Source organism: Homo sapiens, chromosome 2, assembly GCF_000001405.40.
Source record: "Homo sapiens chromosome 2, GRCh38.p14 Primary Assembly".
Classification (NCBI taxonomy): Eukaryota; Metazoa; Chordata; class Mammalia; order Primates; family Hominidae; genus Homo; species Homo sapiens.
Genome location: NC_000002.12, coordinates 162,565,993 through 162,584,296, shown reverse-complemented (window position 1 = coordinate 162,584,296; position 18,304 = coordinate 162,565,993). Strand labels below are relative to the sequence as shown.

General features: G+C 36.6%; 1 protein-coding gene across 7 annotated transcripts in view; it reads left to right on the top strand.

The window, feature by feature from the left end:
- The window catches only part of KCNH7 (potassium voltage-gated channel subfamily H member 7), a 467,361-nt gene that overhangs the window by 254,471 nt on the left and 194,586 nt on the right, over positions 1 to 18,304 (top strand). The gene's annotated exons all lie outside the window — the stretch shown is intronic.

Below are 18,304 nucleotides of genomic sequence, written 5' to 3'. Positions count from 1 at the left end.
AGATATAGATGATGTTTCCCTCCCATGAGAATTTCACAAGTTTGGGTGTGTGAAAGGATGTAAAACAAAATGTAAATTACATCATCAAACAGCATATGGTATTAGAGGCCTATACACCTGTATCCACAGTTCTAAATGCAATAAGTAGTTTTAAAATGCAGTAAGCATGTATTTAAGTAAGAGCAATTCCACATGCAGTAAGTAACTATAAATGCAAGGTGTGACCTGTATGGACATAAAATTATTTACAGCTTTTATCTATATATTTTACTATGAACATGTATACATTCATATATTTTGATGCATAGATATCAATGTGCTTGATTATTGGGTACTGCCCTTTCTAAAATCTGAAAGCCTTTCAAATCTGAAATAGATCTTGCCCCAATGTTTTTAGAAGATATGTATAGACCCATATAGGTGTGATTACTACAAAATAATCTGCATCAGTGGCCAGTGCCCTGTTTGCTCTTTTAAGGACAGCTTTATGAAGACATTAGTGCCCTATTCTTACTGCTGGTGTTTTTTCCAGCCAGGTAACACCAATCATAATATTAAATACTGTTACTCATTTCCATTGTGTGGTTTTTGTTGTATTAAATTTGTAAATGCATTAGGATTATAAATCTGTTAGGAACTGTGAACATTTGAAATTAATTCTGAATTTTGTCTTTTCACATATTTTACATACTTTTACAGTAAAATTATTATAGGTCAGCACTGGAAGAATTTGGAGTTTTTTTCCTTGCTTGTTTAAAAATAGATGTATTAGTCGTATTTAAGAAACTTTCTTTACCATTATACTTAATAACTGAAACAAGGATAACAATGTGATAGTTTAGTGAATTTCAACTTGTTTAAGCTTTGTTATATTGACAAAATAACCCTGGAGAAAATGTAATTATATAGTAAAAGATGACTGTGATATCCTGCTGTGTATCAGGAAGAACAATTTTTACTACTTGTACATGCTCTGAAAGTATGTCTAAATTTTCCTCTTTATGGAAAGCATGATGAAAATCTCAGTCTCCTTACTATTGGAAATCTGTATCTTCTCTTGCTACTAACCATCTGCTCACCTACCTGAAGTATCTGTAGATTCTGATAAATAAAAATTTCCCTAAATATATCATAACCAATTACAGTTTACAGCTATTAGTCAGGCAGACTTGTTTAAATAGTGGGGGGTTTTTAAAGCTTCAAAAATACAACCAGGGATGCAATTTTGAAATTTAGCATTTACCACAGAAGTTGCCTCCATTGTTTATGCTAAAAGTAGATTTAAAATGTCTCACTCTCACTAAGCAACTAAAATATAACGTTTAAAATGCTACTCAGCGTGGGAAGATTTATGAGCAAGCAATTATATCAAACTCTCATTTGTTTCTGATTTTACTTTCTAGATACAGGTGTCCTCTAATATCCAAATCAATGATCATAGAAAAATCAGGTTTAATCTCCTTATCTGGGTAGGAAAGTGAGGTTGGAGAGGTTTCCTAGGTTGTGGAAGATCACACAGCTAATTAGTGTCAGAGTCAGTTCTCTTCCTCCCAGTCCAATTGTTTGAACAGTTTTGTTGTCACTTGAAATGCTGTGTTGTAGATCTAAAGATAATGTGACCTTATCTGCCCCAAAGTTTGCAAATCAATCGTCTCACAGTGCCAAGGCAAATAGGGCAAGCCCAGGGACAAACAGCATGACTCAGCCAGGCCCCCTTCAGCAGGGCTGGCTTCAAAGCTGAGTCATGAAAAATTAGATTGCAGAGTCAAAGCGCTGTATGTTCCCGGCCTTGTCCTACAACTAAAAGGGCAGAAAGTCTCAACCGAGTCATGGAATAGGAGAGTTTCTGTAAGGAAACTTTCTGCCAGTTCTAAAGTGGTTATTTTGTGTTTTATCGCTGCTACTCCTTACTACTAAAGGGTTAAATGCTAGAATATCACTCCATATAAAAGAGTATGGGATAATGTCTCCTGGGTTTATTTATATCTTAATGAAGGACTCCAGAAAACCCTCTTCAATCCTAAGAAAGAATAGCCGGTTGTGATTAATGTTTTTGGGCAGCAAATCTCAGCTTAACATCACCCAAAACCAAACTAGGTGGACAGCTAAGTCCAAATGGAGTCTTACATCCTATTCCAGCAGGGGTAATCTTGACCTTTTAGAATCACCTCTCTTTAAATCTCAGACTGCACGGGGAAGTATTGTTCAGCCATGCTTATCCAGCCCTGTCTAAATCGCACTTCAGTTTATCCAGCCTATTTTGCTTTGCAAGCTGGCTTGTGCTTGGAGATCTCCCCAGGTCTTCCTGCAGACACTGAGCTTATCATCTTCAAATGAGAAGTTTGAGGGGGAGTGCAACTCAGCAGTTTATCCTTTTAACATGAGTATCTCATCACTACTTTTTCTTTCTTTGGGTGGGTGGGTCCCTTTGTAGCAACAAGATTTCAGGCATCTTTCTGGATTATTGCAGTTTTCTTAACTGTAAATCAAACCAATTTTCAATAAAGTAAGATATATGACATTGTCATTTTACTCCTGGCATTTGATATCACATTTTTCCCAATAAGTGCAAATATTACCCAATGAAATAGATATTAATTTTCAGTCAGTCTAGTGACCTAACAGGATAACATTATATAAAAACGTTTGCATCTTGGGTAAGAAAATCTGCATTTAAATACACTTTTAAAAAAAATCTTAAAAGAATTGCAGTTAAACAAGGTAATTTTCCATGGTTAGAAAGGACAAGCAGGTGATATAACCTCCAATGCCTCTTTTTATAATAAGGTAATAAGCTCTCACCTCCAAACGAATGTGCCCCAAATACCTTGGTAACGGATATAATAAAACAATGACTCTATTCTTGCTCAGCTGTTATAGTAGTGATTGTTGTATTGTTTAGCCATTCATATATTTCATGCAGTTCTGAAAATAGCTATCCATTGTTGTTTGATTTATTAAATTTTGTTCCATCACTTACGGATACAAAAGTGCAATTATTAGCAAAGTAAGTTGTGCAGTATGCAATGCTAGTTTTTAAAATTTGGGTCTATCTGCCTATTGGTTTCAGTCTGTCACGAATAAAGAAAGCAACCACTATTATTTGAAATCAAAATGGAAATTCTTCTGCTCAGAAATCAGGGAGATATCCAGGGATCTATCAAATTTCAGTTGCGTGAAGCCTGCCACCATTACCCACTATGGCCACTTCCATTCTTCAAAACTTTGGAAAATCGTGTTGCTGTATAGCCTCTCTCTGAGTTTTAATTACGGCAAAGCAATGCCAATAAATACTTCATTGACCATCCTTGTGTGCAGCTAATATATTTTTTAAATTCTACCACATTTCAAAATGTTTTGTTCATTTCACTCCTTTCTCTATATCACCCAGACCTCTTGACATCTGGGGACTATTTCTATCTAGGAATTATGAAGGTTTCTCTCTACATGTTCCTCAGTTCCCACAGGGTTGCTCTCCTTGAGTTTGTGCCCTCTATTTCCTACCCCAAACCAAGTACTCTTCTCAACCTCCCTGACTCTGCTCTGCTAAAAGAGGTTCTCCAGTGACATCTGTTAGGGTGGGATTGTTTGATCTGTTCTTCTCTCCAGTCCTCTTTCTTTTAACCCAAATAATTAATTGCTCATCCAGGACACATGATATTCAGAGGGAACCTCCTTTCTACAACAACCCATGAAGATCTTGTCATTTTAAAATGTTGGATTGAGTTGCATCAAACAAAATTGAAGTGAATTAAATTGACTTGAATGCCACAGAATGGACTAAGTATTACAAAATTGAGTGGAATAGGGTAATTTTGTGCTGTGTCCCTCCTCTTTGAAGCCTCCCCTGTTCATATTCTTATAGTGAGCCCAATGTTTATTTCTTGAGGTGATAATTTCTTCCATGTTTTGGCTTTTATTTACACACTTTTACTTACAAAATGAATCATAAAATATATCTTCCTGAAGGATATGTACTGGCTCTCATTCATTTCTTGTTATTTTGTAGGCACTCAGAAAAATCTTTTTTCCTTTGGTCTGGGAACCAACTTACATCATTTGTAAGTGATGGACGTGTGCTGTGAACCATAAATAATGTAAACAAGTTAGCACTGCCAGAGGACAAGGGTTCAGTTAGAAAGACCTTCCTGACTGTGAGCTATGATGCCTTTAGCACAAGCTCAAAAAGGTCATAGAGTTGCATTCTCTGCATATTTTCCAGAGAACAGCCTGGAGTACATGTGACCTGATCTATAGTCAAGCCCATTTTGAATGAAGGTAGAGAACTACTATAGGAACTAGCAACAGCTATTCAGGAGGGTGTCACCATTATTTTTTCCAATCCAAGAAAACAAGTTATACTTCTCCATTAAAGGTCATTTAAAAATAATTAGCAGAGTATTTCCGAAAAGAGAAATCATTGCTTCTACGTAACTCTTCATCCCCACAGTTCCAGTTGTCAGCCTTTCTGAGAAAAAAAAAAGTGTTTTCTATCTTTGATTACTCTATCTACTCTGTGCCTGTCTTCGCTAGGGTTCATCATTAAACCAACTGCTTCTGTTGCCATTATAAGAAATGTAGACTTTCGGAAAGGCTTGTTACATTTCAGAAGTGCCCACCCTGTTCAATAAATGGTACTTTTCATCTGTCCCCTTTTGCTGCAGGGGCAGTTTATCTGCCAATATCCCTGGAATTGCTCCCTGTTTCACTGCACCAAGGATGAGAGGCCCTACAGGTTTTTGTCCTGAAACCCGTATGTCAAACACTAGGGAGGTTAACGAGTCTCCAACCTACTCACTGAAACTGAGGAAAACAGAAGTTTCATATTGACATAGCCGAGGATCAAGAAGGACATTACCTCCTTGGAAAAGTGATTACAGTGGCTCTTTCCATACACTTCCATCAGCCAAGATGTGCTGCATCTCCCTCTACAGGAACCAAAGCTGAATAAGCCTGCATCTTACTGACGTTCCTTTTCTATTTCCCGGGAGAGACTAAAAAGTGGCTCAGCCTACAAGGGAGCCAAGGGACCACTTTAGCATGACCCTGATTCTTGAGGAGAGACGAGCTTCATATGCAGGTGCAGTGAAGTCTCCCTTCTGGCCCCATTCTCTGCTCAGTCGATACAAGTAAGAGATGCCTTGGCTTGCTGCTCAAATTATTTATATGACTCAAGGATCCACAGAGCCCTCATAAGCCTCATAAATGAGCTCAGAAAAAAAACTGACACATTTTTCTTCATGCTAAGCCTGAATTTCACTAACACATAGGATTATTTTATGATCCAATCAGTCCAAGTGTAGGCGTTTCAGTAGATGCGTAGACATAACATACAATTGATTTCCTTGCCACAGATTAAAAAAAAAAACTCATAAATCTGAATGAAAACTAATTTTTGATTTTAGTAGAACTGAAAATAATAATAATAATATTGGTAACAATGATTACAATTTGGTAGGATTTTCCTCATAAGATGTTCATTTTCCCAATGATAGCAAAGGATGCTTATCAAGGGAAATAGGTCCCACTTCTACACTCAGGAATTACTTTTCTCCTTTGCATTTGTAAATGGATATACCCAAAACTTCAGTTCCTATGCCACGAATAAGCATGATCTCTCCAAGTGCCACCTTCCAGTTAGCCCAGGGCGAAACACTAAAGTGGACAAAGTACTCCAGTTTTCTGTTTTTCTTTTTCACTGTCATCTAAGCTTCAGCCCTGGCTTCCTAAGTTTCCAGTGTCATGCTCTACCCTCATCTGCCCTGCTTGAGCACTGAACTGACCTTCATAGAACAGTGAGCCCAAAGCTTAGGGTCAGAAGCCTTGGCCGTGTCACTAGCTGGTTTGTCATGCTTTAGATGTGTCACCGGTTTCTCTCTATGGAGTGGAAATAATATCTACTTTACCAGGACATGATAAGGACTGACATTATATATGTGGAAACATGTTTGAAAGCCGTAAAGCACAAAATAAATATAAATATTTAAACACCCTGAAATAACTTATGCTAAATGCCTGGTTCAATAGATATGAATTTGCTAAAAAATTATTTTTCATAAATGTTACTTTCATTTCCCCCTCTTTGGTATTGTCTCAGCTAGCGTTGAAGGACCCACTGTCTCTCTCACATTAGAAACAATTTCTGTGTAAAACATCCCAAATCACTAAGGGCACATTTGACTCATGTATGCATTGTAGCCTAGGGGCTTGTCTCCATAGTCCTTGGAATCCAATACTAGTGGAAGGATCATGGATTTTGGAATTAGGCATACTCAGAATTACATCTCAGCTCAGTCACTTAGAAATTCTATGACCTTGGGCAGGTAACTTAATCTCCTTAGGCTCCGTTTCTTCAACTATAAAACGGAAATAGCAATGCCTATGTAGAAGGAGCCTGACACTAGTAAATATAAATATATAAAATAGTTTTCATTCATTTAATTTGGAACTTGTGGAAAATTCTATCAAACAATAGTCTTGTAAATAAAACTGTGCTTAGTGTGGAGTAAGCAAGTTCACTCTATGGAGAAAAAAATAAATGAAGTGATTTTATGTTGACGTAGTCTTTTGAAGTTTGTGAAGTACTCTCCCTTGAATCTTCCTCATCTAGGTTGGTATGACTCTGTGAGGAAAGGAACAGGTTGTATTCTCTCAGTTATGCAGAAGTAACTGAAATTAGATTATGTGCCTTGGCTAAAGTTGCAGAAGAAAATCATAGGAATGGGGAAGCTAAGTCTGGTGCTAAGAGCCTCAAATTAAATAATTTTGTTCCAAGATCTTCCATTATTTTCTCAATTAAAGGCCAGTTTCTGTAACGAGTTTCCAAATCTCTCTGGGTTCCTCAATAGATGATTTCCTTGATTTTTTCCCCTACCTATGAATAGATAGATAGATAGATGGATAGATAGATAGATAGATAGATAGATAGATAGATAGATAGATAGATAGGATGGATAGATGATAGACAGATAGATAGATAGATAGATAGATAGATAGATAGATAGACAGATAGATCTATCTGTTAATGCTTTGATGTGGCCTTAAGTGAGGGAGAGTAAAGAGAGAAATTTCAGGGAAAGCTGGGTGTGTTGACTCATGCCTGTAATCCCAGCACTTTCAGAGGCCAATGCAGGAGGATTACTTGAGGCCAGAAGTTCAGGAACAGCCTGAACAACAGAGCAAGACCCAATTTCTACAAAAAAAAAATTTTTTAATTATCTGGGCATGGTGGTGTGCACCTATAGTCCCAGCTACTCAGAAGATTGAGGCAAGAGGATGGATCACTTGAGCCCAAGAGTTCAAGCCTGCAGTGAGCTATGATCACTCCACTGTACTCCAGCCCGGGCAACAGAGCAAGATCCTGTCTCCAATAAATAAATAAATAAATAAAGAAGAAAAAGAATAGAAATTGCAGGAAGAGTTTATAATAAAGTACCCTAGTTGAAAGAGTTTCTGTTCTTCATAGTTCTACCAGATCTAATTAAAAACTTACCTTTCCTTTCTTTCTGTCACCTCTCTTCTCCTCACTTCTTTCTTTTATTACAAGACCCTTGGTCATCATTAGAGTCTTTGCTAGCTCTAAAAGTGTATGTTTTACCACTTGTTTTCGTTGTACCCTCTTGTAAACAGGAAAAAAAAACCCCAAAAAACCCAAAACACTAGAAATATTTTTGTGGTTGAGGTGGACTCTTTTGAGGGGGAAAAGTGTGAGAAACATAGAGGAAAAATAGATTTAAATGAGAGCAAATGTTAAGATTAGGTAAAAAGGAAGGAGTACTAATTTCATTAGCTGTCTCAAGTTTTCTGCCTTAAAAGAAAACATTCCATTAAGGAATAGGTCCAATTCCAAGTATTTCTCCAACTTTTTAAATCTTGGCATAGTAGAATTGGGAGACATTTCATCTCCTTCCTTCTCACTATCCCCAAAACTCTGATTTTACAGATGAGAAAATGAAAGCTAGAAAGGTGATATGACCGGCAAAGTTGCAGAGAAGTTAAGAGAGCTGCAATTATTCTTGTCTTTTGAATCACGACTTTCTAATTTTTAGCCTCAAATAGTGTCAAAGAAAAAAAGTTTAACAAACCAAATGTTAGTAAAATCACAGTTAGAAAATTTATGAGAGGATTTGAATTCTTCACATCAATTAAAAATAAATACAAGTTACTTGGTATGCAGCCATGATCTTGCTTTATGCAAAGATTAGATGTTGCTATTAAAAAAATGCACTTTTGCCAAATTCAGACCTCTTCAATACTCATGGGTTCACTTCTAAATCAAACCCAAATTATGTGGTTCTCAAAGTTGTATATGGAAAAACCCCATTTTCTTCAAGTGAGTCAGCTGTCTGAAAGATTGTTTATAATGTTTCCAGGACTGAAATAATAAACTGTTTGGTTTAATTTTACAGCTACATGGCAAACTGCGAAATTAAATTGCAAAATGTCTCTGTGAGCTAATTTTAAATTTTTAAAACTAATCTACAACTGACATAAACATAATCCCCTTAGTTCCAAGGCAATTATAGTTTTTCTGGTTAATTCACAAATAGATGCTGTTGTTTTGAAAAGGCAATGCAGTTACATGCAGAAGAACTGAGCAGATAATAGTGGCCAGAACCTGAAATTTTATGTTCCGTGGGAAAGTCAGTCTCTAGGGTTATCAAGTGCAGCTGTTGGTGCTGGTAGAAATATAACATAGTAGGATATAACATTCAGGAAACATGGGGGTAAACAAGAGCCAGCTAGCCAGGACAGCATTTGAAATTGGGAGATCCAATAGAAGTTAAGGGGGTGACTCAACTGGCAGCATAGCAGAGTGTCAGGAATTGCGGCAGGCAGGTGGGAAGGGAGCCCCATGCAAATCTGTATACAGGTAACAGAGTCCCAGACTTTAGAAAGAGGCAGACTAAAGTCCCCTGTGAAAGAATATTCTAGAGGATCAAGTTCCAAGGCTGGGATTCAGACAAGAAAGCCAGAGTAGGGTAAATGCGGGAAGAGAACCATGATTGAGGAATAAGGCAGAAGGCCAATTATTCTACTTGATCTACAAGGTCAGGGTCAAACTAGCAGCAGATGTGATTTGATCCTGTGTCCCCAAATAGAAGGCTTTACACGCTCTCAACCCTCCCATGCATGGTCAAATTCCCAGTTCTAGATCCCGGCTCAGCCTGCCTGCCAAGTGACTTAGCTAGAGAAGAGGGGGTTGGGGCTGTGCAGAGGCAAGACCTGGTATGAATTCTTTAATTTTTCCACAATTACTGAAACATTGAAGGAGTAAAAGCCTCACATGCCCAACACTTCCACTAGCATTTGATACCATATGCCAAGGATAGCTCATACAATATTTAGTATTCTCATCTACCTGAGCATTTAGCATTCCACCTGAAATACATGTGATCGTAAGAAGCAACAATAGTTAATGTTTGACTTTTGTTACACAACCTGATAATACTGTGTAGAGGAAAGAATGTGCAACTGAATCTCCAAAGGCAACCTTTGTGTCATGGGCCTGCTGGGACTGACTGTGGCTTCTCTGCCACCACCCAGCTTTGCTCTTGTCATGTGTAGTCTGGCACGATGAGCTCACAGGCTCCTTTCACCTCCAGCTTTCTAAATTTTTATTCCAAACTCCAAGGGATGAACACTACTAAAGAACCCATGGATTGTTCTTCTAGAAAGTGCCAGTGGCATTCATAACATTGAATACTTACATGAAAACCCAAAAACTCTTGGCTCTAAGCAGTTTCAGAAAGTAATTACAGTCTATTAATTAAATAGCTTACATTTCAAGTGCACTTATGCAACTGTATTAAGAGACCATAATAAACAACTATTACCATTCTATTGAGCCAACTAACAGGTATATAATTGAGTTTTTGTTCTTCTCTTTTTTTTTTTACAAAGAAGAGAAAATTAATACTTTAAAAAATACTAAAGTTTGAAAGAGACTATTAAAGCCCTAAAATAATGAGTTGAGACAGGCTTGTCTGTCAACTTGAAGAATGGCTAATGAAAAGTCAGAATGTACAGCCCAAGCTCTCCCAAGCCGTCACATTTGCATTGTATTAAACATTTATGTTTATTAATCTTCAGTGCACAGTATGTACTTTGCAGTGTCCAGTGACAAATATAAACATCCAAGCCTTAGAGATGCAAAATACACCTATGTTGTATAAATTTGTTCAATGGATATTCAGTGAATTATGTGATTTTAGATCATTAAATACTAATATTTAACACAAATTTCAAACTCTAAAAAATTACCTACTTAAAAGATTTGATGATAATTTGGATAAATTAAGAATTATGATTCAAAATTTGTTTATTCTGTTCTTTTTATAACATATTCGTGATTTTTATAGCAACCCGTCCTCACAGGCATTTTTTTTCCTGGTAACTATATGCCACAATGTCCTTGCATAGGTATTAAACTGTGATTCAAATATCTCTGCATTTTCCTTAAAAAGTTGAAAATTAGAAGCTCCCTGCCAGTTGAATGTATAATAATATTTTGTAAAGCAGTCAAGTATACCATATTGAACATAACAACATGTTGGATAAATTTTCCAAAGCAGTACCTAGAATAATTTTGTTAAATTATTGTTAAATAATTTCTTAATTTAGATGTATGCAACATAAACACACACACAAAAAAGGTGGCCGAAATACTTTTGCCTACCTGGTGGACTAAAGAAAATAATAATGTTCTCTACAGGTATATTAAAATAATACATATCTTATGAATCTGCTAAATATGTAATTAATAAACTCTTTGTAAATTTCCAAGCAATGGAATTGCATAGCTTGCTATTTTCTAAGGTATGTCAGCTTAAATCTTTATGCCTGATCTTCGTTTATTTTAATTATGCTATTAGTATTACTTTTATTACATCAAACTTTTTATTCATTTTTGTATATCTTTCATCAGGAAATGTTTAATAGTTTCTCTTCTTCAGCCCTTGAGTGGTTAGACACTGTCATATTAAAGAATGAGCTACTATTCTTACCCTTGATGTTCTCACACTCAGTCATGGCTTGATTTTGTAATTCCTCCATCTCTTATCATAATTTCCCTTTTGACTTTTCTACACATGATCCTATTTACATTTTTAAGTTAATTTGCATAAAGTTTTTCCTGCACATTTCACAACATTTCTTGAGGAATTCATTTCAGGGTATATTGAGATCAAGTATAAAAATTATTAGGCCATATTTGTAATTTCATGACCTTTTTTTTTAAGTGTGTTATTATTATACTTTAAGTTTAAGGGTACATGAGCACAATGTGCAGGTTAGTTACATATGTATACATGTGCCATGCTGGTGCACTGCACCCACTAACTCGTCATCTAGCATTAGGTATATCTCCCAATGCTATCCCTCCGCCCTTCTCCCACCCCACAACAGTCCCCAGAGTGTGATGTTCCCATTCCGGTGTCCATGTGTTCTCAGTGTTCAATTCCCACCTATGAGTGAGAATATGCGGTGTTTGGTTTTTTGTTCTTGTGGTAGTTTACTGAGAATGATGATTTCCAATTTCATCCATGTCCCTACAAAGGACGTGAACTCATCATTTTTTATGGCTGCATAGTATTCCATGGTGTATATGTGCCACATTTTCTTAATCCAGTCTATCATTGTTGGACATTTGGGTTGGTTCCAAGTCTTTGCTATTGTGAATAATGCCGCAATAAACATACATGTGCATGTGTCTTTATAGCAGCATGATTTATAGTCCTTTGGGTATATACCCAGTAATGGGATGGCTGGGTCAAATGGTATTTCTGGTTCTAGATCCCTGAGGAATCGCCACACTGACTTCCACAATGGTTGAACTAGTTTACAGTCCCACCAACAGTGTAAAAGTGTTCCTATTTCTCCACATCCTCTCCAGCACCTGTTGTTTCCTGACTTTTTAATGATCGCCATTCTAAATGGTGTGAGATGGTATCTCATTGTGGTTTTGATTTGCATTTCTCTGATGGCCAGTGATGATGAGCATTTTTTCATGTGTTTTTTGGCTGCATAAATGTCTTCCTTTGAGAAGTGTCTGTTCATGTCCTTCACCCACTTTTTGATGGGGTTGTTTATTTTTTTCTTGTAAATTTGTTGGAGCTCATTATAGATTCTGGATATTAGCCCTTTGTCAGATGAGTAGGTTGCGAAAATTTTCTCCCATTTTGTAGGTTGCCTGTTCACCCTGATGGTAGTTTCTTTTGCTGTGCAGAAGCTCTTTACTTTAATTAGATCCCATTTGTCAATTTTGTCTTTTGTTGCCATTGCTTTTGGTGTTTTAGACATGAAGTCCTTGCCCATGCGTATGTCCTGAATGGTAATGCCTAGGTTTTCTTCTAGGGTTTTTATGATTTTAGGTCTAACGTTTAAGTCTTTAATCTATCTTGAATTGATTTTTGTATAAGGTGTAAGGAAGGGATCCAGTTTCAGCTTTCTACATATGGCTAGCCAGTTTTCCCAGCACCATGTATTAAATAGGGAATCCTTTCCCCATTGCTTGTTTTTCTCAGGTTTGTCAAAGATCAGATAGTTGTAGATAAGTGGCGTTATTTCTGAGGGCTCTGTTCTGTTCCATTGATCTATATCTCTGTTTTGGTACCAGTACCATGCTGTTTTGGTTACTGTAGCCTTGTAGTATAGTTTGAAGTCAGGTAGGGTGATGCCTCCAGCTTTGTTCTTTTGGCTTAGGATTGACTTGGCGATGCAGGCTCTTTTTTGGTTCCATATGAACTTTAAAGTAGTTTTTTCCAATTCTGTGAAGAAAGTCATTGGTAGCTTGATGGGGATGGCATTGAATCTGTAAATTACCTTGGGCAGTATGGCCATTTTCATGATATTGATTCTTCCTACCCATGAGCATGGAATGTTCTTCCATTTGTTTGTATCCTCTTTTATTTCATTGAGCAGTGGTTTGTAGTTCTCCTTGAAGAGGTCCTTCACATCCCTTGTAAGTTGGATTCCCAGGTATTTAATTCTCTTTGAAGCAATTGTGAATGGGAGTCCACTCATGATTTGGCTCTCTGTTTGTCTGTTGTTGGTGTATAAGAATGCTTGTGATTTTTGTACATTGATTTTGTATCGTGAGACTTTCTGAAGTTGCTTATCAGCTTTAGGAGATTTTGGGCTGAGACAATGGGGTTTTCTAGATATACAATCATGTCATCTGCAAACAGGGACAATTTGACTTCCTCTTTTCCTAATTGAATACCATTTATTTCCTTCTCCTGCCTAATTGCCCTGGCCAGAACTTCCAACACTATGTTGAATAGGAGTGATGAGAGAGGGCATCCCTGTCTTGTGCCAGTTTTCAAAGGGAATGCTTCCAGTTTTTGCCCATTCAGTATGATATTGGCTGTGGGTTTGTCATAGATACCTCTTATTATTTTGAAATACGGCCCATCAATACCTAATTTATTGAGAGTTTTTAGCATGAAGAGTTGTTGAATTTTGTCAAAGGCCTTTTCTGCATCTATTGAGATAATCATGTGGTTTTTATCTTTGGTTCTGTTTATATGCTGGATTACATTTATTGATTTGCATATATTGAACCAGCCTTGCATCCCAGGGATGAAAGAGCTCCTGAAGGAAGCACTAAACATGGAAAGGAACAACCGATACCAGCCGCTGCAAAATCATGCCAAAATGTAAAGACCATCAAGACTAGGAAGAAACTGCATCAACTAACGAGCAAAATAACCAGCTAACATCATAATGACAGGATCAAATTCACACATAACAATATTAACTTTAAATATAAGTGGACTAAATGCTCCAATTAAAAGACACAGACTGGCAAATTGGATAAAGAGTCAAGACCCATCAGTGTGCTGTATTCAGGAAACCCATCTCATGTGCAGAGACACACATAGGCTCAAAATAAAAGGATGGAGGAAGATCTACCAAGCAAATGGAAAACAAAAAAAGGCAAGGGTTGCAATCCTAGTCTCTGATAAAACAGACTTTAAACCAACAAAGATCAAAAGAAACAAAGAAGGCCATTACATAATGGTAAAGGGATCAATTCAACAAGAAGAGCTAACTATCCTAAATATATATGCACCCAATACAGGAGCACCTAGATTCATAAAGCAAGTCCTGAGAGACCTACAAAGAGACTTAGACTCCCACACATTAATAATGGGAGACTTTAAGACCCCACTATCAACATTAGACAGATCAACGAGACAGAAAGTCAACAAGGTTACCCAGGAATTGAACTCAGCTCTGCACCAAGCAGACCTAATAGACATCTACAGAACTCTCCACCCCAAATCAACAGAATATACATTTTTTTCAGCACCACACCACACCTATTCCAAAATTGACCACATACTTGGAAGTAAAGCTCTCCTCAGCAAATGTAAAAGAACAGAAATTATAACAAACTATCTCTCAGACCACAGTGCAATGAAACTAGAACTCAGGATTAAGAATCTCACTCAAAACCACTCAACTACATGGACACTGAACAACCTGCTCCTGAATGACTACTGGGTACATAACGAAATGAAGGCAGAAATAAAGATGTTCTTTGAAACCAACGAGAGCAAAGACAGAACATACCAGAATCTATGGGATGCATTCAAAGCAATGTGCAGAGGGAAATTTATAGCACTAAATGCCCACAAGAGAAAGCAGGAAAGATCCAAAATTGACACCCTAACATCACAATTAAAAGAACTAGAAAAGCAAGAGCAAACACATTCAAAAGCTAGCAGAAGGCAAGAAATAACTAAAATCAGAGCAGAACTGAAGGAAATAGAGACACAAAAAACCCTTCAAAAAATTAATGAATCCAGGAGCTGGTTTTTTGAAAGGATCAACAAAATTGATAGACCGCTAGCAAGACTAATAAAGAAAAAAAGAGAGAAGAATCAAATAGACGCAATAAAAAATGATAAAGAGGATATCACCACCGATCCCACAGAAATACAAACTACCATCAGAGAATACTACAAACACCTCTATGCAAATAAACTAGAAAATCTAGAAGAAATGGATAAATTCCTCCACACATACACTCTCCCAAGACTAAACCAGGAAGAAGTTGAATCTCTGAATAGACCAATAACAGGAGCTGAAATTGTGGCAATAATCAATAGCTTACCAACCAAAAAGAGTCCAGGACCAGATGGATTCACAGCCGAATTCTACCAGAGGTGCAAGGAGGAACTGGTACCATTCCTTCTGAAACTATTCCAATCAATAGAAAAAGAGGGAATCCTCCCTAACTCATTTTATGAGACCAGCATCATCCTGATACCAAAGCCGGGCAGAGACACAACCAAAAAAGAGAATTTTAGACCAATATCCCAATATCCTTGATGAACATTGATGCAAAAATCCTCAATAAAATACTGGCAAACCGAATCCAGCAGCACATCAAAAGGCTTATCCACCATGACCATTTTTTACAGAATGCAAAGTCATAGCATCTTTTAAAATTATTTATGTCATACATTTATGTTATACATGCAATATCTGAGAAAAAATATGAAGTTACTATATAAAGCTTAAAAAGTTTGCATTCTTTTTGCTAGACCTCTAGCTAGACTTCTTTCTTTTATATATTTCTTATATATATTTTGTATTTCCTCTTTGTTTCTACTCCAACAGCTTTAACTTCATCCTTTGATTCATAAATACCATTGGCTGCTGGTCATGCAATTCAACAAGAAATGTTTAACAAAGAAAAAAATGTGTATTAATATGTCACTCAACTTTACCTCATTTTAATATTTGTATATTTAATCAACTGGAAATAAAAATTGTACAAATTACAGTCACACATTGCTTAATTATGAGGATATTTTCTGAGAAATGTGTCATTAGGTGATTTCATCCAAATGCAAATATTGCAGAGTATACTTACACAAATCTAGAAGGTACAGCCTACTATACACCTAAGCTGTATGGTGTCGCTCTTACATTACAAACCTGTACAGCATGTTACTCTACTGATATGGTTTGGCTTTATGTCTGTACCCAAATCTCATCTTGAATTGTAATCCCATAATCTCTATGTGTCAAGGGAGGGACCCTGGGGGAGCTAATTGAATCATGGGGGTGGTTCCCCCCATGTTGTTCTCGTGATAGTGAGTGAGTCACACAGGATCTGATGGCTTTATGAGAGTCTGGCATTTTCTCTGCTTGCATTCATTCCTTCTTCTGCTGCCATGTGAAGAAGGACATGTTTGCTCCACTTTCCACCATGATTGTTAAGTTTCCTGAGGCCATGCTGAACTGTGAGTCAATTAAAACTTTTTAATTTATAAATTACCCAGGCTCAGGTATGTCTTTATTAGCAACGTGAGAATGGACTAATACATCTTCTGCATACTGTATGTAATTGTAAAACAATGGTAAGTATTTGTCTATCTAAACATAGAAAATGTGCAGTAAAAATATGGTATTATAATCTTATGGGACCACCATCCTATATATAGTCTTTCATTGATGGAAACATTGTTATGTGGTGTATTTAACACCTTTAAGGTCTTAAAATAAATTACTCATTGTTTCATACATACATTTGTATTATCCAAATTATTCTTGTTATTTGAAAATTATTTATTGAGCACTTACTGTGTGCCAGGCACTATTCTAGCCAGTGAATAAAACAGGGGAAAAGTACTCTTATAAAGCCTGCAGTCTAGAAAAGAAAGATAAACAATACAAATCAATATACAAAACATATAAGGTATATGCTTTTATATCATTTCCTGCCATAATCACTTGGATGCTCTACTGAAGCCATACTTGCTTTTTTACTGTGGGGGGAAAAATGCAAATTGAAAATGACTTGCCACCCATGAAGCACACTTCCTAGCAAGGGTACAGAAAATCAACATGTATGATAGTGGTAACATCCGCTATTCTCACTTTTACTCAACTCCAACCCCCAATTTCGTATGAGTGTTTACCTTGTTAGCCTCACCAAATGGCTTTTGGACTGTTATTTTCTGAAAGGAAGGCAGGAAGAAAAGAGAGTAAAAAAGAGGGATCTCTTTTGTTCTTAATGCTTTGTAAATTTTGATTTTTTATTAGAGGGTCATTTAGAAGATAGAGTATAAAGAGTTATGTTGGAATATCATATCTACTAAAGTGATCATTTTATAATTATCATCTTCTTTCTGCTAAATAATGACCATATTCATATTTATTCCAATATTGTCTTTGGAGAAAACTCAACAATGATATCTTCTTACTTTTTCAGTTGTCTTATTTTCTTGTATGTGTTGAGTTCATGCCATATACAGGTATACTAACAGGCCTGCCTTTCTTCAGTGAAAAATTGCACTGTTGTCATGTATTAATAGACTTTATCCTTTGAATACATGAATCCTTCCATCCCACCCAGCTGATCAAATCCTACTATTTTTTTAAGACTAGGCTCGACTGACAATCACCCATCCAGGTGGAATGGTTTCACTTTTCCTTTGGATACTCCTGTGTTCAGTATATAATTTTCTCATAGCTGCTGATACAAAAATCTGATATTTAGCTATTTACAAATCTTGATCTCTACCTGACCATAACCTTTGCTAATCAGAATGTCAGAATGGAAGCCCTACAATGGCAATTACTCTGTCTTGTCTTTGTAGCTTCAAGCAAAAACTACCTGGTCTTTACTGGGTACTTAATAAATGTGGTCTTTATTAGGTACTTAATAAGTGTTTTCTGATTAAATGAATAATGAATCAATGAATAAATGTTGTCTACATGAGATGGTAAATTGACTATCTTTTATTTTTCCCTCTTGCACTTAATGATCATATTTTCAAGACAACTCACTTGATTTAAGCAGGTAGTTTGTGATTGCAGGATAGACCACATGGAACTGAGTCTGTGAGCTCAGTCTCATTCTAACATTGTTATAAATAAATGAGCTGTACATGGTTACAAAGCATTTATTGAACACTTGCGAGTCCCAAAATATTATGCTATCCCCAAATAATATTGGATTGAAAAGCGACCATGCTTTACACAAAAACAGATTTTATAAAAGATGTTAAGCCCAGGTAAGTGTCTTGGCTATGAGGCTGGTAAACTCCATGAATGATGATGGAAAGGAGAAGCACAGAATAATAAACAACAGATGCTTTTTTTTGAGGAGGAGGAAAGGGTTGGTGCTGGTAGATTCCCCAAAAGGCAGCGGCCTCTTAGGTGAATATCTTTTGAAAACTTTCAGTCCCCCACTATGAGCATTAAAGTGGCAGGTCATGGTTCCCAGATAGATGAAAGGAACTTGTAAGATATCTTAAAACATAAAATAATATGTTCATATTTA